This window comes from Homo sapiens, chromosome 5, assembly GCF_000001405.40.
Source record: "Homo sapiens chromosome 5, GRCh38.p14 Primary Assembly".
Taxonomy (NCBI): Eukaryota; Metazoa; Chordata; class Mammalia; order Primates; family Hominidae; genus Homo; species Homo sapiens.
This window is the reverse complement of record NC_000005.10, coordinates 174522839-174548478: the sequence shown is the minus strand read 5'-3', so window position 1 is coordinate 174548478 and position 25640 is coordinate 174522839. Positions and strand designations below refer to the sequence as shown.

The 25640-nt window shown below is 44.2% G+C and overlaps 2 long non-coding RNA genes across 2 annotated transcripts in view, besides 1 other annotated feature; one reads left to right on the top strand and one right to left on the bottom strand.

The window, feature by feature from the left end:
- Positions 1–365: 365 nt before the first annotated feature.
- On the top strand, positions 366–25334 carry LOC105377739 (uncharacterized). Its single transcript, XR_941261.3, has 4 exons — positions 366–524; positions 12945–13012; positions 23789–23891; positions 25255–25334. It is a non-coding gene; the product is annotated as an uncharacterized LOC105377739 (long non-coding RNA).
- Positions 15358–16557: an enhancer, noted in NCBI's record as "CDK7 strongly-dependent group 2 enhancer chr5:173958925-173960124 (GRCh37/hg19 assembly coordinates)". NCBI's record gives its function as "activates an origin of replication core promoter dependent on BRD2, BRD4, P300/CBP, MED14 and CDK7 cofactors, with strong dependence on CDK7, by STARR-seq in HCT116 cells {active_cell/tissue: HCT116}" and the evidence as "EXISTENCE:reporter gene assay evidence [ECO:0000049][PMID:35650434]".
- LINC01411 (long intergenic non-protein coding RNA 1411) overlaps positions 21340–25640 on the bottom strand; it is a 190786-nt gene continuing 186485 nt past the window's right edge. The window contains exons 4-6 of the long non-coding RNA NR_125806.1: positions 24318–24417; positions 22031–22251; positions 21340–21615 (exon numbers count right to left, since the gene is read on the bottom strand). This is a non-coding gene — a long non-coding RNA (long intergenic non-protein coding RNA 1411). The remainder of the gene's footprint in view (positions 21616–22030; positions 22252–24317; positions 24418–25640) is intronic.

Sequence of the window (25640 nt, the reverse complement as noted above, 5' to 3'; positions counted from 1 at the left end):
GAACACAGCCACAGAGCAATGCACCCATGGTTGGAAGTGGCTATGTTCTCATAAAACTCTATTTATAAAAAACAATGACATGCTGTAGTTTGCCAACCCCTGCTACAGTTAGTCCTATATCCAGCCAACAGCCTCTTTCTGATTTAGCTTCGATATTTGCCTGAAACACATTTCAACACAGAGGCTGTTTACTTCAGGGGCTGTTATATTTTTGCAGGGGCTGAGGGTGAGGAGAAGGAAGAAGGCGCATAGCCCAATGAGAATCCCAAAAACCCTCTCATAAGGACACGCAAATGTGCAAACAATTTTGCACACAATTCTAGGGGCGTTGTGGACATATAACCTCTCCATTCTTAGGAGCTCCATGAATGCATCTTGGCTTTCTAGAAACTGGAGAGACGGAGACAGCTGGTTGGCATAAGAGCATCGGCCTGAGAATGTCAGAACTGAGGAAGATTTGGTAGTGTGCCAAAGTGCTGGTTATCACAGAGTTTCATCTCAGCACAAAACTGCCCAGCTAAAGGGTACGTTTCTGAACTCTCTTGGGGGATACGTGTGGCTACGTGATCTTGTTTTGCTCAATGGGATAGAGTAGAAGTGACAGGTACCACTTCCAGGCCCTGACCTTAAAGACTGGATATATGCTTCCCTGCCTTCTTTCCCCTGCCACTGACTAGGAGGTGGTAAGAATGGGACAGTCTTCTTGGACCCAAATGTAGAAGCTGCATGCTGGTGATAGAAATGATATCTTACTATCTGAACTGCCTACTTCTGGGCTGTTAGGTAAGAGAGAAAAAAAACTTCACTCTTGGCCGGGCGCGGTGGCTCACGCCTGTAATCCCAGCACTTTGGGAGGCCGAGGCGGGTGGATCACGAGCTCAGGAGATCGAGACCATCCTGGCTAACAAGGTGAAACCCCGTCTCTACTAAAAATACAAAAAATTAGCCGGGCGTGGTGGCGGGCGCCTGTAGTCCCAGCTACTCGGGAGGCTGAGGCAGGAGAATGGCGTGAACCCGGGAAGCGGAGCTTGCAGTGAGCCGAGATTGCGCCACTGCAGTCCGCAGTCCGGCCTGGGCGACAGAGCGAGACTCCGTCTCAAAAAAAAAAAACTTCACTCTTGTTTAAGTCACTGTATTTCTAGATCTCTTTGTTACAACAGCAAAACATGTACTTAGTACTGACTATCTATTTTGCAAGGCCCAGTGCAAAATGCAAATGTGGAGGTTCTTGTTAGAAATGGATTAAGAATTTAAGCCGGGTGCAGTCGCTCACGCCTGTAATACCAGCATTTGGGGAGGCTGAGGCAGGAGGATCACTTGAGGTCAGAAGTTCAAGACCAGCCTGGCCAACATGATGAAACCCTGTCTCTATTAAAAATACAAAAATTAGCTGGGTGTGGTGGCAGGTGCCTGTAATCCCAGCTACTCAGGAGGTGGAGGCAGGAGAATTGCTTGAACCCGGGAGGCAGAGGTTGCAGTGAGCCAAGATTGCGCCATTGCACTCCAACCTGGATGACAGAGTGAGACTCCCTCTCGAAAAAAGAAAGAAAAGAAAAGAAAAAAAAATGATTAAAGAATTTCAAGACAGTGACAGCAGAGTACAAAATCATTTACCCATCTTTCAGCCTTCCAAGGCAGATGGTTCGCTCCCATTTTCTAACACCTGAAATGTAAAGGTCTTGAGTCCAGAGGCTGCAAGGACAGGTTCTGGATAAGGCTGCCTAGGTTCAACACCTGGTTCCATTACTTACCAGGTGTGTGAGCTTGGGCAGACCTCAGCTTCCTCATCTGTAAAATGGCAATAAGAATAAAAGACTCTGTCTCATTGCTTTGGTATGAGGACTAAATAAGGTAGTACAGGCAAATAACTTGGCATTTAGTGAGCACTTTATAAATGTTTGCGTTCATTCTTGATACATAATAAATGGGTAAACTAGATTTTCTAAACTGTTTTAGACATTCATGTGCATCTGTTCTGCTCTCTCCAATCCCTTCTTGTTTCTGTCTAGCCTTTGGTTCCTCTCATTCACCTACTTCTCTTCCCTTGCTGCAATGTTAGACTAGGCAGGTGTTTTTTTGTTATTTTGTTTTTAAATCAGGACAAAATGGTTATACTCAACTGAGCATAATTTATTAAAATAATTGCCTTAATGAATACTAATTATTAAATGTTCATTTAGTTATGTGCTTCCCTTTGCTTGTATATGAACTTCATGTTAGTCATTATGAAACAAGACATGCAGCAAACTGTGTAATTACAGACAAAACATTTAAGACACAAACCAATAAAAATCAAAGGTAGGAGAAAAATGCTTTGAAGAGAGCTGGGGAGTTGTTGGGACTTCCCGTGCCCTGCCAAGAACCTGCGGTGGGAGGCAGGGGCAGGAGGTGGGGTGTGGGGCGATGGCCCTGAGATCTGTGTGCCAGGCCTCTCTATCCAAGACAGAGAGGAAATGAGAAAAGACCAAGGAGCCACCATGTCACATCTTTAAACAAGTGGAAAGAGATGAACTGCAGGCCCACAGAGCCCTCCTTCTCTTGGGGAGGGTATGGAGTACAGGTCGGGGAAGCATCTTCATGGAAGCCAGGCTTACGGTGGGTCCTTGCCTTCTCCATTCTCACAGTTTGCCGAGTGACTGTTAAGGGTTGAATTGTGTCCCCCTGCTAAATTCATATATTGAAGTCCTAATGTCCAGTCCCTTGAAATGTGACCTTATTTGGAGACAGAGTCTTTGCAGAAGTTATCAAGCTAAACTGAGGACATTAGGTTGGGCCCCAATCCCATATGACTGGTGTCCTTATAGAAAATAACACCAGCTGGGCAGCTTAAACAACCGACATTTATTGTCTCACAGTTCTAGAGGGCAGTAGTCAGAGAGCAAGGTATCTGCAGGGTTGGTTCCTTCTGCGGGCTGTGACAGGTCCCCTAGCTCTCTCCCCCAACTTCTGGTAGCTTGTGTCAATCTTTGCTGTTCCTTGGATTGCGGAAGCATCACCTGATCTCTGTCTTTGTCTACACACAGTGTTCTCCCTGTGTGCATGTCTGTGTCCACATTTTCTCTTTTCATGGACATCAGTCATACTAGATTAGAGCCCAACCTAATGTCCTCCATTTAACTTGATTACCTCTGTGAAGCCTTTATCTCCAAATAAAGCCACATTTTGAGATACTAGGGGTTAGGACTCCGAAGTATGAATTTTGGAAAGGACACAATTCAACCTCTAACAGTGACCTTGGGCAAGTATCTTCCTTTCTGTGAGTTCAGCTTTCCTTTCTGTGAGCTCAGTTTACCTATTTGCAAAGTGATACGTTGTGATTAGATAACCTCCAAGGGCTTTTCAGCCCTAAAGTCCTAGGTAGGTGAAACAAATTCCAGCCCCGAGTCACACAGGGGCTAGATACAGCCTCGCCCCAAAGGCTGCAGAAAGAAATGCGAAGACTCCAATTTACAGGAGGCAAATGAAGGTGGAAACTGCCCACTGTGGTAAAACCACACTTCACTAGAGGGGTCTTTGTGCGTTGTTTGTGGGAGGCCCTGATCACTCGACAAATCTCTGTGTCTAAGGACTCTGCCAAGTTCAGCAGAGAGACAGATGACAGGAGCGGAGCTAGCCCATCCAGCCAGAGGAATTGGCAGTGCTGAGACAATCCATGCCACAGATAAAGCCAGAATATATTCTTTCTGTATTGAAAATTTTCCATCTTGCATGGAATTTCATGTAAATTCATCATTCATTCATTCATTCATTCAGGAAAAATGTATTGAACACCTGAATGTCAGGGCCTGCTTTGTATATTGGAGATACAGGAATGAACAGAACATAGTTCCTGTTCACATGGAACTTTCGTTTGCAGGGGTTTGGTGGAGGAGGTGCAGACAACAGACAAACAAGTAAATCATTTCAGATAAGGATGATCGAAGGCAAAGAAGAAAGAAAAGCCATCCAAAGTCAGAGTGCATATGTGTTTACTCTCACCAACTTGTGATGGGCAGAGCCAAGGGACTTTTGCCCTGGCAAGTAGCTTTGCTGGCTTCTGGAAGGCCCCTAAGTAGAGATGCTTCCAGATGTAGAGTCTGAGTAACACGACAGAAGACCACAAGGAAGGAACCTCCACTTCACCAAATGTCTTCCCCTGGGTGTTGTATAAGGAGAAATACCTTTGGAGCCAGATAACTGTGAGCTTCAGTCTTGTATTTATCACTTTCCAGCGGCATGACCTTGAGCCAGTCCTTTCACCTCTTGCAGTCTGTCCTCCCATCGGTAAAATGGGTGAATAATTAGTAGGTTGGTGCAAAAGTAAGTGTAGTTTTTGCCATTACTTTTAAGTGGCAAAAACCGCAATTACTTTCGCACCAGTCTAATACAGTAATGACCTGATTGGGTGGTTATAAGGACTGGATGTGATAATGCCTATGAAACATGCAGGTGATGGAAATTCAATACATTTAGCCACTGTGATGATTAACTCCAGCTGTAGTATGAACAAAAGAGCCCTGGGCTTGGAGTCAGGTGAGCAGGGTTCAAGCATAAGTTTTGTTAGGTCAAAATTGGGAGACTCTGGGGAAGGAGTTCTCTGTGCCTTGGAAAATGCATTCATTCATTCAAATGAGAAAACTTGATCTTAAAAAAGGCATAATAATTTACATTTCCCTGGGTTGTTATGAAGGTTCACAAATCTATACGTAGAAACTTTATTTAAAGGCAAGGCATTTGTAAAATAGCTGTTCTTGTATCACACTAAGCCTCCCTCCTCCTCCCACCACACAGGTTTCCCAAAGCCCTTTATTTCTTTATTTGTCCCCACGTTGGCTTCTCCTTAAGCCATCAGGCAGCAGACCTCCAGAGTCAACATACATCAAGTGATATCTTAAAACAAGGAGGACCAGGGTCCCAGTGAGTAAGAAGAGAAATGGTACATGTGAGCATCTGAGCCTGGGATATTGGAAATATCACACTGACCTTGGAGACAGACACACCCAGAGTGGATCCGGGGTCATCCTTGAGGCTATGTGATCTTGGAAATGGTATGTGGCCCCTCTGAGCCTCCATTTCCTCATCTGGAACACAGAAAACCCAGTTTCCGAATCTTAGCTTCCATTATTGTGCGAATTATAGAAGATAACAAAGGCAGTAATGATGATAGCAACAATCGTAATAACTCCTCATATTTATTGACTGTTTGCACATGGTTCTGTGTGGTTTATGTGCTTTACCCCATTTAATCCTCATAATGACCTTATGAGATGGTAATTATTGTAATCCCGTTTTGCAGGTGAGGAAACAAAGAAGGGACAAAACAGCTGCCAAAGTCACCCAGCTGGGAGTGTCAACGCCTGGGTTGTGGCTGGAGTCTTCTACTCTAGAGCCCACATTTGTAACCATGAGACTGCATTGCCTCTGACAGCACAGTGGTCAAATCACACAACAGCTAGACACAAAGCCTAGTACATTTGAGGTGCATAGAACAGGGTGGTTATGATTGGCATTACCACGGTCAGTGTTCCCAGCCCACAGATGATGTGGTCAGGTGTCTTTTGCCAATACTGCTGAGAGCTGCCTGGGAACAGGTTTGGCCAATGTGCTGATGACCGGCAGCATCCTTGTCTCTATTTGTCCTTAGCAGGCAGCCTTCACTTTTATTTCGAAACAGAGATATTTAAGGCTAAGCTTCTGAGTAGCGGATTTTCTTAGGTGTCCTTTTAAGCTCCTTAGTTTTGGGGTAATCTGTTACACAGCAACCAAGTGGAGGACACCAAGTCTGAAAGGGCATCAGCATGTAGCAAGAGGGAGGCGTCTGAAGCCCGTCAGGCTCCAAAGTCCCCTTCCTACTCCGCTCGAGTCCTTCCCCCAAGAGCAATAACAACTCACTAATAACTCCTCACTAATAACTCCTCACTGTCAATAAATGTGAGGAGTTATTGCTGTTGGTATTTTGATGTGCAAAAAAGCTGAACATCAAGGAACCGTGTGTCCTCGCTGGCGGACCCACGTGTGTGGAACAGGTTGGGATGCGGTGTGATCTCTGTAAGCTCTTTTACCCCACCAGGGAAGATGCTTTTGGGGGAAGGACATGAGCGGAGTAGGGGGGGATTTTGGGGCCAGACAGGCTTCAGATGCCTCCCACTTGCCATACGCTTCTTTTTTTTTTCTTTTCTTTTTCTTTTCTTTCCTTTCTTTCCTTCCTTACCTTCCTTTCCTTTCCTTTCCCTTTCTTTCTCTCTCTTCTTTCTTTCTTTTCTTTCTTTCTTTCTTTTCTTTCTTTCCTTTCTTTGAGATAGAGTCTCGCTCTTTCATTTCTTTCTTTCTTTTTCTTTCTTTCTTTCTTTTTCTTTCTTTTCTTTCTTTCTTTCTTTTCCTTCTTTCCTTTCTTTGAGATAGAGTCTTGCTCTGTCACCAGGCTAGAGTGCAGTGGTACAATCTCAGCTCACTGCAGCCTCCACCTCCCGGGTTCAAGCAATTCTTCTGCCTCAGCCTCACAAGTAGCTGGGATTACAGGTGCGTGCCGCCACACCCAGCTAATTTTTGTATTTTTTTTTTTTTTTTTTTTTTTAGTAGAGATGGGGTTTTGCCATGTTGGCCAGGATGGTCTCAAACTCCTGACCTCAGGTGATCCACCCCCCTCAGCCTCCCAAAGTGTTAGGATTACAGGCATGAGCCACTGCACCCGGCCTACATGCTTATTTTCTTTCAGCCTTGATGTCCTCAACTTATCTATTGCTGTGTAACAAATTACCCCAAAACTTAGTACCTTAAAATGACAGTATCAGTCATCTCACAGTTTCTGTGGGTCAGGAATCCCTCTGCAGTTTAGCCTTGTCCTGCTTCAGGGTTCCTCCCAAGCTGGGATTAAGGTTGTGGACTCACTCATGTGGCTGCTGGCAGGTTCAGTTCCCTAAAGACTGTTGGCTGGAGGCCTCCCTCAGTTGTTCCCTGCCACCTGGGCCCCTCCAGTGTGGTGGCTGGCTTCCTCTGTGCGATCAAGCCAGAGTAAGACTGAAGCCTCACTCTTTTATAACTTATGTCTCAGAAATAACATCTTGTGTCTTTTGGGTTTTGTTGTTGTTGTTTTCTGTGAATTTCTTCTTCTTATGTTGTCCTTTTTTTATGTTAAAAATCGTTTAGGCTGGGCACAGTGGCTCATGCCTGACATGCCAGTATTTTGGGAGGCTGAGGCAGGAGGATTACTTGAGCCCAGGAGTTTGAGGTAAGCCTGGGCAACATAGCAAGACCCCATCTCTACAAAAAAAATTTAAAAATTATCAGGGCGCAGTGTGCATGTCTGTGGTCCCAGCTACTTGGGAGGCTGAGGCAGGAGGATCGCTTGAGCCTGGAAGGTTGAGGCTGCAGTGAGCTATGATCGTGCCACTGTACTTCATCCTGGGTGACAGAACGAGACCCTGTCTCCAAAACAAATAATGTAGTTTAAATCTTTAATTGTAGTAAAATATCACAACAAAAATTCCTATCTTAACCATTGTTAAAGGTATACTTTGGTAGTGTTAAGTACATTCATGTTTTGCAACTGATCTCCAGAACTCTTTTCATTTTGTAAAACTAAAACTCTGTCCTCACTAAACAACAGCTCCCCATTCCCACCTCCCCCCATTCCCGGGCAACTACCCTTCTACTCTCTGTCTCCCTGAATTTGACTACTCCAGGTGCCTCATATACGTGCAGTCATGTAGTATTCATCTTTTTGTGAAGGGCTTATTTCACTGAAGATAATGTCTTCAAGGTTCATCCTTGTTGTAGCATGTATCAGAAATACCTTCCTTCTTAAGGCTAATATTCTATTGTGTGTATATGCCACATTCTGTTTATTCCTTTCATCTTTTCAACACTTGGATTGCTTCCACGTTTTGGCTATTGTGACTGGTGCTGCTGCAAACATGGGTGTACACATATCTCTTCAAGATACTCCTTTTAGTTTTTGGGGGGTATATATGTAGAAGTAGGATTGCCAGATCATACAGTAATTCTATTATTTTGCTTTATGAGAACTGCTACACCGTTTTCCACAGTGGTTTCTCCATTTTACATTTTTACCAACAGTGTACAAGGGTTCCAATTTCTCCACATCCTCACCAACATTTGTTATTTTCTGTGTTTTTTTTTTTTTTTTTCATTATACTTTAAGTTTTAGGGTACATGTGCACATTGTGCAGGTTAGTTACATATGTATACATGTGTCATGCTGGTGCGCTGCACCCACTAACGCGTCATCTAGCATTAGGTATATCTCCCAATGCTATCCCTCCCCCCTCCCCCCACCCCACCACAGTCCCCAGAGTGTGATATTCCCCTTCCTGTGTCCATGTGATCTCATTGTTCAATTCCCACCTATGAGTGAGAATATGCGGTGTTTGGTTTTTTGTTCTTGCGATAGTTTACTGAGAATGATGGTTTCCAATTTCATCCATGTCCCTACAAAGGACATGAACTCTTCATTTTTTATGGCTGCATAGTATTCCGCGGTGTATATGTGCCACATTTTCTTAATCCAGTCTATCATTGTTGGACATTTGGGTTGGTTCCAAGTCTTTGCTATTGTGAATAATGCTGCAATAAACATACGTGTGCATGTGTCTTTATAGCAGCATGATTTATAGTCATTTGGGTATATACCCAGTAATGGGATGGCTGGGTCAAATGGTATTTCTAGTTCTAGATCCCTGAGGAATCGCCACACTGACTTCCACAATGGTTGAACTAGTTTACAGTCCCACCAACAGTGTCAAAGTGTTCCTATTTCTCCACATCCTCTCCAGCACCTGTTGTTTCCTGACTTTTTAATGATTGCCATTCTAACTGGTGTGAGATGATATCTCATAGTGGTTTTGATTTGCATTTCTCTGATGGCCAGTGATGATGAGCATTTTTTCATGTGTTTTTTGGCTGCATAAATGTCTTCTTTTGGGAAGTGTCTGTTCATGTCCTTCGCCCACTTTTTGATGGGGTTGTTTGTTTTTTTCTTGTCAATTTGTTTGAGTTCATTGTAGATTCTGGATATTAGCCCTTTGTCAGATGAGTAGGTTGCAAAAATTTTCTCCCATGTTGTTGTTTTTTTGATAGTAGCCATATTAATGGGTATGAGGTGGTATCTCATTGTGGTTTTGATGTGCATTTCCTTCATGGTTAGTGATGCTGAGTATGTTTTCATGTGCCTACTGACCATTCGTATATCTTCTTTAGAAAAACGGCTATTCAAGTCCTTTGCCCATTTGCATCTTATTTTATTTTACTTATTCATTTTGAGATAGAGTCCTGCTCTGTTGCTCAGGCTGGAGTGCAGTGATGTGATTATAGGTCACTCCAGACTCGACTTCCTGGGCTCAAGTGATCCTCCCACCTCAGCCCCCACAGTAGCTGAGACTGCAGGTGTGTGACACCAGACCTGGCTAATTAACAATTTTTTTTTAATCAAAGATGAGGTCTCCCTATGTTGCCCAGGATGGTCTCAAACTTCTGGGCACAAGTGATCTGCCTGCCTTGACCTCCCAATGTGCTGGAATTACAGATGTGAGCCACCATGCCTGGCTTTGCCCATTTTTAAATTGGATTGTTTTTTTGTTGTTGAATTTAGGGGTTTTTATATATTTTGGATATTAACCCCTTATCAGATATATGATTTGCAAATATCTTCTCCCATTTCATAGGCTGTCTTTTTACTCTGTTGATGTGTCCTTTGATGAACTGAAGTTTTAAATTTTGATGTAGTCCAATTTGTCTAGTTTCACTTTTGTTGTCTTTTGCTTTTGGTTTCATAGCCAAGAAATCATTGCCAAACACAATGTCATGAGGTTTTCTTCCTATATTTTCTTCTAATAGTTTTATACTTTTGTGTCTTACATTTATGTCTTTGATCCATTTTTAGTTAATTTTGTTTATGATGTAAGGTAAGGATCTAACTTTATTACTTTACATGTGGATACTCAGTTTTCCCAGCACCGTTTGTTGAAAAGACTGTGTTTTTCCCCATCAAATAGTCTTGGTGGCCCTGTTGAAGGGTGACCATATATGAGAGGACTCATTTCTGTCTATTCTATCCTATTCCATTGGTCTATATGTCTATCTTTATGCCAGTACCACACTGTTTTGATACTGTAGGTTTGTAACAAGTTTTGAAATCAGGAAATGTGAGACCTCTAACTTTGTCTTTTGTTCATTTCATCTTGGCTATTTTGCATCCCTTGAGATTCCATATGAATTTTGGGTTTTTCTATTCCCGCAAAAAAAACGCCATCTGGCCAGGTGCAGTGGCTCATGCTTGTAATCCCAGCACTTTGGGAGGCTGAGGAGAGTGGATTGCTTGAGCTCAGGAGTTTGAGACCAGACTGGGCAACATGGAGAAACCCTGTCTCTACAAAAAATACAAAAATTAGCCAGGTGTGGTGGTGCACACCTGTTGTCCCAGCTACTTGAGAGGCTGAGGTGGGAGGGTCCTTTGAACTTGAGAGGCAGAGGTTTCAGTGAGCCAAGGTGGGGCCACTGCACTCCAGCCTGGGTGACAGAGTGAGACCCTGACTCAGAAACAACAAAACAACAACAACAACAACGAAAACACCATTGGGGCCGGGCACGGCGGCTCACGCCTGTAATCCCAGCACTTTTGGAGGCCAAGGTGGGCGGGTCACCTAAAGTCAGGAGTTCGAGACCAGCCTGGCCAACTTGGTAAAACCCTGTCTCTACTAAGAATACAAAAAAATTAGCCAGGCGTGGTGGCACACGCCTGTAATCCCAGCTACTTGGGAGGCTGAGGCAGGAGAATTGCTTGAACCCAGGAGGTGGAGGTTTCAGTGAGCTGAGATTTCACCACAGCACTCCAGCCTAGGTGACAGAGTGAGACCTTCTCTCAAAAGAAAAAAAGAAAAAGAAAAAAAAAAACCACCATTGGGATTTTGATAGAGATTGCATTGAATCTGTAGGTGGCTTGGGGGTAGTACTGACATATTAAAAATATTAAGTCTTTCAATGTATAAATATGGAATATATTTATATTTATTGGTGTTGTCTTTAGTTTCTTTCAGCAACGCTTTATAATTTTTTTTTTTTTGAGACGGAGTCTCTCTCTGTTGCCCAGGCTGCAGTGCAGTGGTGACATCTCCGCTCACTGAAACCCTGAGACCTCCACCTTCCAGGTTCAAGTGATTCTCCTGCCTCAGCCTCCCAAGTATCTGGGCTTATAGGTGTGTACCACATCAGCTAATTTTTGTATTTTTAGTAGAGATAGGGTTTCACCATGTTGGCCAGGCTGGTCTCAAACTCCTAACCTCAAGTGATCCACCTGCCTCCCAAAATGCTGGGATTACAGGTATGAACCACCGTGCAGGCCTTATAATTTTTAGTGTCTAAATACTCAAGCATTTTACCTCCTTGGTTAAGTTTATTGTTAGGTATTTTAGTCTTTCTGATGCTATTGTAAATGGAATTGTTTTAATTTCATTTTTGGCTCATTCATTGTTAGTATATAAAAACATAACTGATTTTTGTGTGTTGATTTTTGTATCCTTCAACATTGCAGCATCCATTTATTAATTCTAGGAGTTTTATAAGTTCATGTCATTTGTGAGCAAAGATAATTTTTCTTCTTTCTTTTCAATTTGACTGGCTTTTTTTTCTTTCTTTTTTTTTTTTCCTGAAAATTCTGGCGAGGACTTCTTATACTATGTTGAATACAGGTTGATTCAAAAGTGGACATTTTTGTCTCATTCCTGATCTTAGAGGAAGCTTTCAGCTTTTCACCATGAGTATTATGTTGGTTGTGAGCTTTTCATTTGTGGACTGTCTTATGTTGGGGTAGTTTCATGTATTCCTGGTTTGTTGAGTGTTTTTTCATGAAAGAGTATTAAGTTTTGTTAAATGCATCAATTGGGATAATCTTGTGGATTTTTTCTCATCATTCTATTAATGTGATATATTACATTGACTTTTTTACGTTGAAATATCCTTTTATACTAAGAATAAATCCCACTTTGTCATGGTGCTTAATCCTTTTAATGTGCGGCTGAATTATGTTTGCTAGTATGTTTTCTTCTTTTTTGAGGATTTGTGCATCAAGATTCATTAGAAATATTAGTCTGTAGTTTTCTTTTCTTGTGTCTTTGTCTGGCTCTGATGTTAGGGTAATGCTGGCCTCATAAAGTGTATTTAGAAGTGTTCTCTCCTCTTCAATTTGTTGAGGAGTTTGAGAAAGACTGGTGCTAATTCTTCTTTAAATGTTTGGTAAATTTACCAGTGAAGCCCTCTGGCCCTGGGCTTTTCTTTGTCTGGAGGTTTTTGGTTACTGATTCAGTCTCCTGACATCCCATCACTTTTGCTATATTCTGTTTGTTAAAAGCAGGTAATTAAGTGTAGCCCACATTTAAAGGAAGGGGATTACCAGAAGGAAGGAATAATTAGGGCCATCTTAGAAAGCTGCCTAACAGTCTTTCTCTGTAAAATGGAGCTATTCCCAATCAACTGGTTAAACAAGATGATGAGTAGGGCACCCCACAGGGTGCCTGGTGTCTCAGAGGTACTTGGTAAGTGGTGAGTCTATCTCCCATTTGATTGGTTTCACAATGCAGTCTGGTAGACAAGCCATCAGATTCCATTCTGATAGCCTAGATTTATGGTCAGCGGTAACTGTTTTGCATCCTTGTGTATGATTCACATTTTAACACAAGATTGCAGTTTTCTCAAATCAATACAATTTCAGAGGAATTTCAGCCACACCCTGTGTGTTTGTGTTCTCAGGCTCAAGCAATGAATAGGATAAGCATCCGGGTCATGGTTTTCTGATTGTAATTCTCACGGCAGCTGTCATATTTGACTCCTTCAACCTGGATACGGCCCCTCCTATACCATCCTCAGTATCATGGGCTTCTTCTTACGTGACATTTGTCAAACAGTACTGTATTTGTCCATTTCAGGTCTTTTTTTTTTTTTTTTTTTTTCTCTAGATGGTGAACTGAGTCCAGAAATGATATCTTTTTGTTTTCTGTTTATTCCTGGTGTTCCTGAGTACAAGGTAGGCCCTCATTAAAGATTTGGCACATAAAAAAGGAAAAAGAATGAATGAGTGAATAAATATTGCCCTTGCCACTATATATACCTGTCTCTCCTGCTAGTCCTGAAGGCTCTGATTCAGTCTGCATGCCCAGGGTCCAGCCCAGGGCCTGACTGATTTAGAAGCTCAGTAAATGCCATGGGTTGAAGGAGAGAATGGCAGCTTAGCATCTCCTTACCTCGAGCCCATCAGCTATTGTAACCACTGGACAAAAATAGAAAGACCATTTTAAATTCATTTGAAGGAGCCATATTCTTGAGATGTCATTCCCATAGTGTTCTCACCACGGGAGCAAAATTCCCAAAGCAAGAGACTCCTTCAATCATTTTAATGGAATAAACAGCCAGATGCAGTGGCTCACGCCTGTAATCCCAGCACTTTGGGAGGCCAAGTGCTGTAATCCCAGAACTTTGGGAGGCAAGGAGTTCAAGACCTGACTGAAATAGTGAGATCTTGACTCTACAAAAAATTTAAAGGAAACTTTAGCTGGCATTGCTGTGCACGACTGTAGTTCCAGCTCCTGGAGGCTGAGGATTACTGGAGCCCAGGAGTTTAATATTGCAGTGAGCTAGGATTGTGCCATTTTACTCCAGCCTGGGTGACAGAGGGAGACCCTATCTCCAAATAATTAAATACATAAATAAAAAATAAAACACAGCATTTGCAGTTGGATTCTCCCAGAAGCCAAGTGTGAGACAAGGATTTGAGTATGTCTCAGGAAGCACGGTTGGGAAGTAGAGAAAGGGGCCAGGATACGGAAGGAATCCCGTGCATGTCACACTAATGAACAGGCGGCTGCAGCGGACACCTGAGGCCCAGTCTCACAGAGGATCATGCTAAGCATGCCTCAGCATTGGTCCCCCTAAGTAACATGAAAGCCATGAGATTTACACCAACTCCTGTCATCTTTCTTTGAGGGCTGTGCTCCCTGGTACCCTGGTCTGCCCTCCCTGGTACCCTGGTCTGCCCTGAGGCCAACAGAAACCTTACAGAGAGAGACTCAGGTGCTTGCAAGATGAGGATGTCTATGAATGCTGAGTGCTGAGGGGCTTGGGGAGGGACACTGACAGCATCTGCTGCAAATGTATGAAATTAGCTTTACAAACCTGAACCTGAGACCCAGTTTTGTTCCTTACCAGCAAGGGAAGTCCTATCAAACTTCCCAGCCCTCAGTGAGGCCCCAGCCCCTCTATGAGGCCCTGTTCTGCTCCACTAGGGTTTTTTTCCTCTATGAAGTCATAGGACTTGGGATTATGGACGGCGTTCCTTGTCAAAGTTCAGTTCCTAGAGTTTCCGTGTCCGCTGACTTCCTTCCATTTCCCTGTCCATGTTTCACATCAGTTACTCCAGCTGAGGTTCTGCAGAATTGAGTTCCTCTTTGCAGCTGATCTATGTATGTCTCACCACAAGTATGATTCACACATTGCCCTACTGTGGTGTTTATAGCATTTGATACTTTGATTACTTTGTTCAAAGTGATATCATTTGTTTATAAGCATTTGTTAAATCCTCAGAAATCCCTGCTCTCCTGTCCTCTGGGCTCCTTACCTATGGTCAGAGTTAAGTCTCCTGTTGCTGGGACAACCCAAAGTGACTAAGATGGTCTAATCAGTGAGTCACAGGCCTGTCATATTTCTTAATATAATCAGGGTAAAAGAGAGAAACAAAACGAATGCAAAAGAGTCTTGGCCGAGTTTTGTTAGTAGTAATTGATACTAACTTAGGTATGTGGGGATCGCACTTTGCAGTGTGCCCCATCTACTCCTTGCTGCTCTTTCTTGCACCTCCCACAACATCTTCACCTTTACTACTTTAGGACCAGATAACCACGTCCTAAATGTTCCACGGAATGTGAATGTGTGTATCAGGAAAAAAAAGAAAAGATTCCACAGTCTTTTCCTAGACTAGAAAAAAAGACTTCTAGTCTAGGAAAGGCTAGAATCAGCAAAACACAAAGGTGTCTTTGCTGCTGGACTTCTCAGAGACTTGTACATACCCAAGTGTACTGTGACACTTAGTGAGGAGGATGGAGTGAGCAGCATCTCCTAAGCTATTGTGATGACAGACACCATCTGATAGCTGGAGAAATCTTCTCCAGAACAAAGCTTGGGACATGCTTTCCCGGATCGTGCATTTGCTACAGGAGCGAGACAGACTGACGATTCAGAATGCTACCACCCGCAGGCTGCAAAGTCTTCATGATGACAGCTGCTGACAGAGCTACTTCATGGATTGAATATCAGCTATGAGCTGGGTGCTTTACCATAAGGAAACAGCTTTGCCAGGGAAGACAAAAGTTAAAGCATCTTCAAGGAAAAGGCTTTCTGGTAAGGCATTTGCTAAATCAGGAAAGCTGCTTTACCAAAGGATGGAGGCTGTGTGAGACTCACCCAGGGACCTGCCCTCAGTACCAGGACTGGCTAATTTGCAGGATCCAGTGCAAAATAAACATGTAGGCTCCCGTGTTTTAATGTGACTAAGAATTTCAAGATAATGACAGCAGAGCATCATAGCAAGCACGAGGTTCTCCTAACAACACAGAGGTTGCACCCCGTGAAGCCTACCATATGCAAAAAGTGCCTTCTGTAGGAGCCGCAGCCCTGGACCTCATGGGAACCAATCCGATTGTGCCAAACATCACCTCCTCCTCCCTTCCTTCAGTGTGCTGCTCCCAGACGGGCCTCCTCCCACTCTGCCTCAGCAGGAAGCTGGTTCTGCCGGCTCTCAATGACTCAGCAGCTGATTAAGCAACGTGCTGGGAGATTACCCAGAGGCAGCATGAAATCGTGGCAGGAGATTAGGAGTTCAAATTCCGGCTTTTACTCCTTACCTCTCAACTACGTTGGGCGATTTTATGTCCATTTTCTGTACCTTAGAAAGACCCTTTGGAAAAAGAGGTTGGAAATAATGCCTAGGCTGGAAACTGTGTGGTGCGAGCAGCCAGCAAACACAGTGACAAATGAGTCCGCCTTTTGCAAGTGGGCCAGTTCCTCACAGGTATAGGATTTTTTAATTTCCTCTCTTGGAGACTCTTGGCCACATCTCTCATTTACTTATTTCTCCATTCATTCCTTCAGTATTTGGAGGGTCAGTAAGAATGAACCAAGCAAAGCAGAAGGGGAAATAGCAGTGCAAGACCCCTTGACTGGAAAGAGTGTGCTACACAGAGGGAAGAGCCATCTCCTGGGTCTGGAGGAGCTTGGCTGGTGGAGAAAACAGAAGTTAATGGTAAACAAAGGCCAATGGGTTGTCTGTGGATTCTAATCATCCTTCTATCCCCACTGCACAGCAGCCCAAGTAATTGACGGTTGGCCACAAACCACCTCCAGGAAACTCCAGCCTCCTGGTGCCTTCAACCATCTTCAGCAATTAGGCTCAGCGTGACAGTTGTTTCTGAAATGAGGAGCCGAATGAATGGAATTAATCTCCCTGATTTAAATCCATTAGTGCCTGTGATATACTGGCACAGGCATTTAAGAGCCACTTCACCTCACCCCGTCATGCCCAAAGGGTCACAGGCTGACTCATAGTTAATAGTGGGGAAGACTTTAACGGAGGGGCGGCTTTGAAGAAGCGCAGGGTGTGTTTAGAAGCTTGAAGGTTTAATGCATTTTTAATTAAATGTGCTCTAATAGGATTCAGCACCAACTATCATGTCACTACAGATAGATTCATTATATTTGTTCAGTTAATTATGCGTGCATTATTACCCAAGTGAAAACTTCGATGACCTGGAAAGAAGCTTGACTTTGAGGGACACCCAAGAGTTCTGCTGGCACTTTCAGGATTAGATTAAGCCCTTCCCCACCCTCCAGCCCCTGTGTGTACTCTCACGACCACACATGTAGACACATGTGCACACACCAGCAAAGACACCCAGGCACAGGTGTGCACACACCAGCAAAGACACCCAGGCACAGGTGTGTACACACTCTCTCTGTCTCTGTTTTCTCTATCTCACTTCTATCTCCTTTCAAAAAGAAAGGAGTGGTAGGAGATCTTAAAGTTAGAAAAAAAGCATTACCAGATTGGACTCCATCCTGTTATTAGCTGAATGTCTTCAGATATGGCACTGATGTCTGAGCCTGTGTTCCTTCTCTATAAAATGACAACAATATTATTAATAATGAGTACATCTCCCAGGATTGCTATTGGCGCCAGTGTGATTTTGCCTATGGAGTGCTTTGTGCAATGCCTAGAGCCTTGCATGTGCTTCCTGTCGTTGGTTGTAACAACTCAATCCACCTGTATCCTCTCTGTATACTCACTCCCAATATATGCATCCACCTGTATTCGTTCTGTACACTCATTCCTCCCATGTGCATCCACCTGTATCTAATCCAGACACTCACTCCCCCAATATGCACCCACCTGTATCCAATCCAGACATTCACTGTCCCCCATATGCACCCACCTATATCCAATCCATATGCTCACTCTCCCATATATACCCACCTATATCCAATCCATACACTCACCCTCCCATATGCACCCACCTATATCCAATCCATATGCTCACCCTCCCATATGCACCCACCTATATCCAATCCATACACTCACCCTCCCATGTGCACCCACCTATATCCAGTTCATACGCTCACCTTCCCATATGCACCCACCTGTATCCAATCCATACGCTCACCCTCCCATATGCACCCATCTATATCCAATCCATATGCTCACCCTCCCATATGCACCCACCTATATCCAATCCATATGCTCACCCTCCCATATGCACCCACCTGTATCCAATCCATACACTCACTCCCCCAAATTCACCCACCTGTATCCAGTTCATAAACTCACTCCCCCCATATGCACCCACCTGTATCCAATCCATACACTCACCCTTCCATATGCACCTACCTGTATCCAATCCATACGCTCACCCTCCCATATGCACCCATCTATATCCAATCGATATACTCACCCTCCCATATGCACCCACCTATATCCAATCCACACGCTTACCCTCCCATATACACCCACCTGTATCCAATGCATACACTCACGCCCCCAAATGCACCCACCTGTATCCAATTCTTAAACTCACGCCACCCCCCCCCCGCATATGCACCCACCTGTATCCAATCCATACACTCACTCCCCTCTGTATACACCCACCTGTATCCAATCCATACTCCTCACCATATACACCCACCTATATCCAATCCATACACTCACTGCCCCCATATGCACTCACCGATATCTATTTTGTGCACTCAGGGCACAGGGTTCCTGCTTTATAGCGAGTGTTTGCATGCTGAAGCCTGACCTCATTTACTCATTCAACAAGCATGCACTGAACACTCGGCAATGACTTCCTGAGTACCTACCATGTGCCCAGCTCAGGGTCCTGGGCTTTTAAGTGTTTCTCATGCCTGGTGTCTTTCCTACCACAACCAGGTAAGTACATATTACAAGAGGGAAACTGAGGCTTAGATAATTGATTCAGTGGTGTTTATTGGATTTTTTTTTATGCTAAGTATTATGTCAGAGGTGGAGAATAAAGAGGAAAAAGAAACAAGTGTGGCTCTCGCATCAACGACCTGATCTTGTCACAGGAAGTTTTTGAGAGCTCACAAAAAAGTACTTATGTTTCTGGATCTTTTGTTTTCCCTTGGATCAAATCATGATACACAGATGGAGCTGTGTATCTCACAACGTGGTAGACTGAGCGCCTCACTGCCTGCTTCCCCACAATGTTGCTTCCAAGTTTGGGGAGTGGAGGAGGTGTCTAGGGGGCCAGGAAGGGGATCTGACATATCCAGAGAAGGCTCATGTGGGCATCCTGGATAAGCCTCAAAGGTGGTGCTTCTCAGACTTCCCTGCGCTTATACCTCTTCTGGGGATCTTGTTGAAGCACAGATTCTCTCTCATTCAGTAAGACTGGGGGTGGGGAGGGTATGATGGTCAATTTTGTGTGTCAACTTGGGAGGGGGGGCATGGTACCCAGTTGTTTGGTCAAATGCACAGGCTAAATGTTGCTGTGAGGGTATTTTTTGGGATGAGATGAGCATTTAAATCAGTAGACTCTGAGTAGAACAGACTATTGTCTTCTGTAGTGGGGACGGGCCTCACCCAAGCAGTTGAAGGCCAGAAGAGAAAAGACCAAAGTCTTCCTAACAAGAAGATATTATGGCTCCAGACACACTGCCTTTGTACTCAAGGTGCAACATCAACTGTTCCCTGGGTCTCCAGCTTGCTGACATACCTTGCAGATTTCGAAATTGTCACAACTGCATGAGCCAATTTATTAACAGAGGAATCAATGGATCTCTACCTCTATCTCCATCTCTATCATCCCTATCCCTGTCTCTATCCCATTGGCTCTACTTCTCTGGAGAACCCTGACTAATACAGGGGTTTGAGATTTTGCATTTCCTGCAAGCTCCAGGAGATACCAGTCCTTCTGGTCTATGAGCCAGACTCTGAGTAAAGTCATAGATAAATATCACGTCTGTAAATAGAAAGTCCATCACACAAAAAGCCGGGGCAAGTATTTTTTTTTTTTTTTTTTTTTTTGAGATGGAGTTTTGCTCTTGTTGCCCAGTGGTGCAATCTCGGCTGTCTTCAAACTCTGCCTCCCGGGTTCAGGCAATTCTCCTGCCTCAGCCTCTCGAGTTGCTGGGATTACAGGCGCCCACGACCACGCCCGGCTAATTTTTTGGATTTTTAGTAGAGACAGGGTTTCGCCATATTGGCCAGGCTGGTCTTGAACTCCTGACCTCAGGTGATCCACCCGCCTCGGCCTCCCAAAGTGCTGGGATTATAGGCATAAGCCACTGTGCCCGGCCAGGGGCAAGTCTTAAAGTTGCCCTGAAGACCTTCAGAGTGAGTTTTCGCTGAAGCCATTCCACTGTGTTCTCTCCAGTGATGAATTTCTACCTGATCATTTGAGTCCAGTGGTTTGTCCAAGCTGGTGAGCAACTGGAGTCTCCAAGAGTGTGCCCCCACTACTTTCAAGCTCATGGTTTTCAGTTGTCTAAACACAGCTTTTCTCACACATTCTCAAGTCAAGCAGAGGCAGCAGTATCCAATGCCAAACAGCTGGATGGAAACTGAGAAGAGAAGAAATCAGAGTTGCTGCAAAAGTTTTCCAGCAGCCCAGGTGTCTGGCATCCCACAAACACCCACGCTGGCCTCAGCAACCCCCTGCCTTTCCTGACACCTTTTGAACGCTAGACAAAAACAACGAGAGCAGAATTGGAAGCCATGGCAAATGCAGCAGGGGAAACAGTTGGTCTGCAGTGTGCTTCCTGGCTTGCAGCAGACAGCACGACAGCAGACCAAATGAAAAAGGAGGGGACGAATGGGGAAGAAAAGAGGATGTCATTAACAAATGATCTTTGCCTTCCTCTCCGATAGCTCAGACCACAAGAAAGCTCCCGCAGTCACATTCAGGTGGAAAGTGCCACTTTTCAAACATCCCAAGGCCTTGCCCTGCTGGTAAAAATGGGGTAGAAGAGGCCGGGCGCGGTAGCTCACGCCTGTAATTCTAGCACCTGGGGAGGCTGAGGCAGGTGGATTGCCTGAGCTCAGGAGTTCAAGACCAGCCTGGGCAACATGGTGAAACCCCATGTCTACTAAAATACAAAAGAAATTAGCCGGGCGTGGTGGCATGCGCTTGTAGTCCCAGCTACTCGGGCAGGAGAATTGCTTGAACCTGGGAGGCGGAGGTTGCAATGAGCCGAGATCGCGCCACTGCACTCCAGCCTGGGTGACAGAGCAAGGATCTGTCTTAAAAAAAAGAAAGAAAAGAAAAGAAAAGAAAAACAGAAAAAGAAAATAGGTAGAAGAGTCTGTGATGAGAAATGCATGGGGCCCAGTCCAGTCCTGTTCAATAGAAACATAACATGAGTCACATATGCGAAGTCCAAATTTTTTTCTTTTTATTTTGAGACAGGGTCTATCACCCAGGCTGCAGTGCAGTGACACGATCACAGCTCACTGCAGCCTCAATCTCCCAGACTCAAGCGACCCTCCCGCCTCAGCCTCCCAGATAGCTGGGATAACAGGCATGCACCACCACGCCTGGCTGATTCTTTTATTTTTTGTAGAGACAGGCTCTCACTATGTTGCCCAGGCTGGTCTCGAACTCCCGGGCTCATGTGATCCTCTCGCCTTGACCTCCCAAAATGCTAGAATCACAGGCATGAGCCATGATGCCCAGCTAATTTAAAAAACATTTTTTGTAGAGATGGGGTCTCCCTATGGTGCACAGGCTGGCATTGAAAAGTTTAAATTTTCTACCAGCCGCATTAAAAATGTCAAAAGAAACAGGCAAGTTAATTTTAGTAATGTATTTTATGTAACAGAAAATACCCTAAATATGATTTCATTGTGTCATCAGTACAAATATGTAAAACAAAGATACTTTACGTATATGGTTTTTGTCCAGCTCTTGGAAGTCTGGTGCATTTCCAGCCCATCTCAATTCACACTGGCCACGTTTCAGGCTGGGCGCTACCATATTGGGCAGTGAAATTCTGAGGGGCCTTGGGGAGCAGCATGGTGTGGCCACAGACCATCAAGTTGGTATTTTCCATCTGCCCCAGCCTCCCCTAAAAATAGAAACATGACAAAGAAAAAAAATGAGAAAAAAAAAATCTTTTGAGAACTAAGCATGCCCGGCAAATCCTGCCAGGTGAATGCTCACAGTGAAGTGAATAATCACAGTGATTCTACTCAAGCAAGCACCAAATGGGCAAGCATTCTTTAAATAAACAGAAATTGAGTATATTTCAGGAACCTATGTACCCTGTGGGTCACAGAGAAGGTTAAATAAAAATTTGTTTTAAAAATGTCTCCCAAGGGGCAGTCTCTGTTGCGCTTCTCCTGCCTGTTGTTGGAAGAGGGAGTGGCTCTCAGGGTGGAAGCTGGGGGCTGAGAAGTCAGGTTGAGGTGGACACCGGGGCCTCCAGATGGCCCCAACTGCCATGGCCATTCCCAGCTCTTAGAGTCAAGTATTGACCTCACCTGTGGATCTGCAGGGAGGGTGAAACCGCAACTCAAAGCCACTCTAGGAGACTTTCAGTTTCCGGTGGGGACCTTCCATTGAGTTTCTAGTGGAGACTTCAGCAGATGCTGTGCAAACCTGGAGGGGAACTGTACCCCAGATATCTGAGTATTCTTTCATTTGGTTAGCTGCTCACTCACTCCTTCATGCGTTGATTCACACATTGTCCCAGCTGGGCTCCCTGGGAAGCAGACAGGAGCTTTATTAGGAAGTATCTTGCAATCAACACTAGTGGAAGGGAGAGAAAGGAAGTGGGATTGGGCTTAGGGAGACAAGGAGCTGTGACACAGTCTCAGTGAAGGCCCAGCCATTACTAGGGGAGTTTTAAACATGGGAGGAGCTCCAGAGCTCTCCTGACTGGGCCCAGAAGACCAGGCCTTTATACCTCCATGCTGGTCAATCATCCGATGTGGGCTTTCCTGTGAAGGAGGCTGGACACAGGGCTAGGGGGCTTTCTTCAGCCGAGAGCTGAGGATCTGCAGGCGGCACTGCCAGCCTCTTGGCTAGTAGGTCTTTTATTCCCAAAGGGACATCTGGGTGGCACATTGTAGCATTCACCACATACATCCTTTAATGTAGTCACTCGTTTATGAACTCTTGTCTCTGGGCTCCACTTAATGACTCACTCATTGATTTAATTTATAAATGCATCTCCTTTGCTGAGAACTCTCCAATGGCTTCTCTTGACACTTTGAACCCTTCATGACGTGGGCTCTGGCCCCTCTGAGCACTTGCTGGATAAGACCCTTACCCTCACTCACTGTGTTGCAGTCACCCTGGTTTCTTCCTTTTCTTGGGACACACCAAGCTTTTTCCTGGCTTAGGTACTATTGCACTTATTTTGGTCTCTATCTGACATTCTGCTCCCTTGGGTCTTTGCAAGGCTGGTTCCCTTTTATAATTCAAGTATCAGCTCAGAGCACCCATCAGATGAACTTTGCAAACCACCTCATCTACAGCAATTCACTCTATCACTTCCTACCATCTGTAATCCTCTTCCCTAGTTTATTGGTTTTGTTTTACACAATCTATCACAATCTAAAATTACCTTGTTCATTTACTTATTTGTGCATTTTTTCTCACTCTCCATTAGAATGTAAGCTTCATGAGGACAGGATTTCTATCTAGTGTTTATTCTTATTAGTTACTCAAATATTTGTAAAATGATTAAATGAGTGATTCAGAAATTTATCAATTAACTTCATTCATTCATTTATATATTAACTCTTATTCATGTATTATTCTGTTTATTCATTTACTCAACAAACTTTTTATATGTATATGTGTGTATATGCAGCAAATTTACTGTGAGCTCAATAAAGATATTCTTTTTTTTTTCTTGAGACGGAGTTTCACTCTTTCACCCAGGCTGGAGAGCAATGGTGTGATCTTGGCTCACTGCAACCTCCGCCTCCCAGGTTCAAGCGATTCTCTTGCCTCAGCCTCCAAAGTAGCTGGGATTACAGGCATCTGCCACCACGCCCAGCTAATTTTTATATTTTCTTAGTAGAGATGGGGTTTCACCATATTGGCCAGGCTGGTCTCAAACTCCTGACCTCAAGTGATCCGCCTGCCTCGGCCTCCCAAGTGCTGGGATTACAGGCATGAGCCACCACTCCCGGCTCAATAAAGATATTCTTAGCAACATTATTGCAAACAGCAAAAACACAATTATATAAAAAACAAACTAGAATAACCTTGAGCTTGTCCAACTCTAGGGGATGGCCAAAAAAATGATGGTATGGCATGATAGAAAGTGAAGACCTCTCTACACATGACACTTTGTTATGACTTCATGGCGGTGTAGCAACATGGAACAAGGTCAGTAGGTCCACGAAAAGTGAAAGGAACACAAGTTTGATGAAAAGGCGTGCACACTATTATTGCAGCTATGCCAAATGTGTCTGCTTTGGGGCGAAGATGAGAAGGAAGCAAGCAACAGTAAATAGAGTCACTCTCAGGGAGTGAGATGTGGGAGAGTTTATCTTCCAAGTATTCCTTTGATACTGTTTCCCACTTATCTTTATGATAAGGATGGGATTATATGGCCCCCAAGGCAGGGACAGATCTGTATTTCTGAGACCTGGTAAGAAGTTATATTTATAAATCTCTTCCTGCATGTCTAGTGCTGAACATGCGTTTTTTTCAGTTTAACATTCAGAACAATCCCGTAAGGTAAACGGTATCTTTTATTGTTTTGGTGGATGTGGTAGGCAGAAAATGATCTAAAACCTGTGAATACGTTACCTTACACTGCAAAAGGGACGATGCTGCTGTGGTCAGCTTAAGGATTTTGAGATGAGTTGATGATCTCAGATCTTGGATAGGTCCAGTGTAATCAGAGTCCCTAGAAGAGGCAGACAGGAGGGGCAGAATCGAAGATGTGACAATGGAAGCAGAGGTTGGAGATATGCAGGATTACAAGACGGACAACACAGGCAGCTTCTAGAAGCTGGAAAAGGCAAGAGAACGCATTCTGCCCCACAGCCTCCAGGAGGAATGCTTACCATTTCAGACTCCTGCGCTCCAGAACTCTAAGTGTATAAATGTGTATTGTTTTAAGCCACTAAGTTTGTGATAATTTTTTAATGGCAACAATAGAAAACAAACACAGTTGCTAAATTGAAGCTCAGAAAGATAAAATAACTCATCCAAGGTCAGCGGCACAGTTAGGATTGAGGTCATAAAATCTTAACTCTTCATTGCTCTCCACTGCCACCTGTCTCTGGCCCATAACTGAAGTTGGAATTCTTTGCAATGAATTATCCACAACACTCTAGACATTTGCAGGCACCCAGTTGCTGCCTTAATTCTGGAAGGTTTAATTCTAAGGATTGGGCTGACATACATATGTTTCCTTTCCTTCTTTCTCCATCTTTTCTTCCCTCCTTCCTTCCCTCCTTCCCTCTTCTCTTTTCTTTATTTCCTTCCTTCCTTCCTCCTTTATATTTATTGAGCAGCTGTTATATGCCAGGCTCTGTCCAAGATTCTGAGAATATACTAAAAGTGAGATGGCCAGGTGCCTGTCCTTGGGGACTTCATGCCGAGATTTTGCACAGATTTTGAAAATATTTAGAATTTTGTGGATAATTTATGCTATTGAAGTTCAGCTTCAGCTTTAGGTCGTTATAGAAGTGAGGAGGCATTAAAGATTTAAAATTAGGGTCTCTTTTTCTTCAACCAGGTCCTACTCCTCCAGGAAGATGATGGAGAATGCTGAAACTGTGCTCCAAGGCCACGAGAAGGAAAAGGCCTGGATTTTCTCTTCACTCTCTTTCAGTCCTGCTGCCTCCCAGTTTCTCCAGGGGAGTTTTTGTCTCCCTAGGGCTTAAGGAGGATCCTGGGCTCACGTGCTCAGGATGTTTGAAAGAACCAAAAACAGGAAGGAGAAGAAACAGGCCCTGTTTGTTAGGAAGCAGAAAAACAAAGATGCAGAGTGGTATGGGAAGGAGAACACCTGCCTGAGAGACTGGGGTCTGAATTCCATCTCTGCCTTTCACTCCCCATGTGACCTTGGGCTGGTCCATGTACCACTGTAGACCTCAGTCTTCTCATCTGCCCAATGGGTAG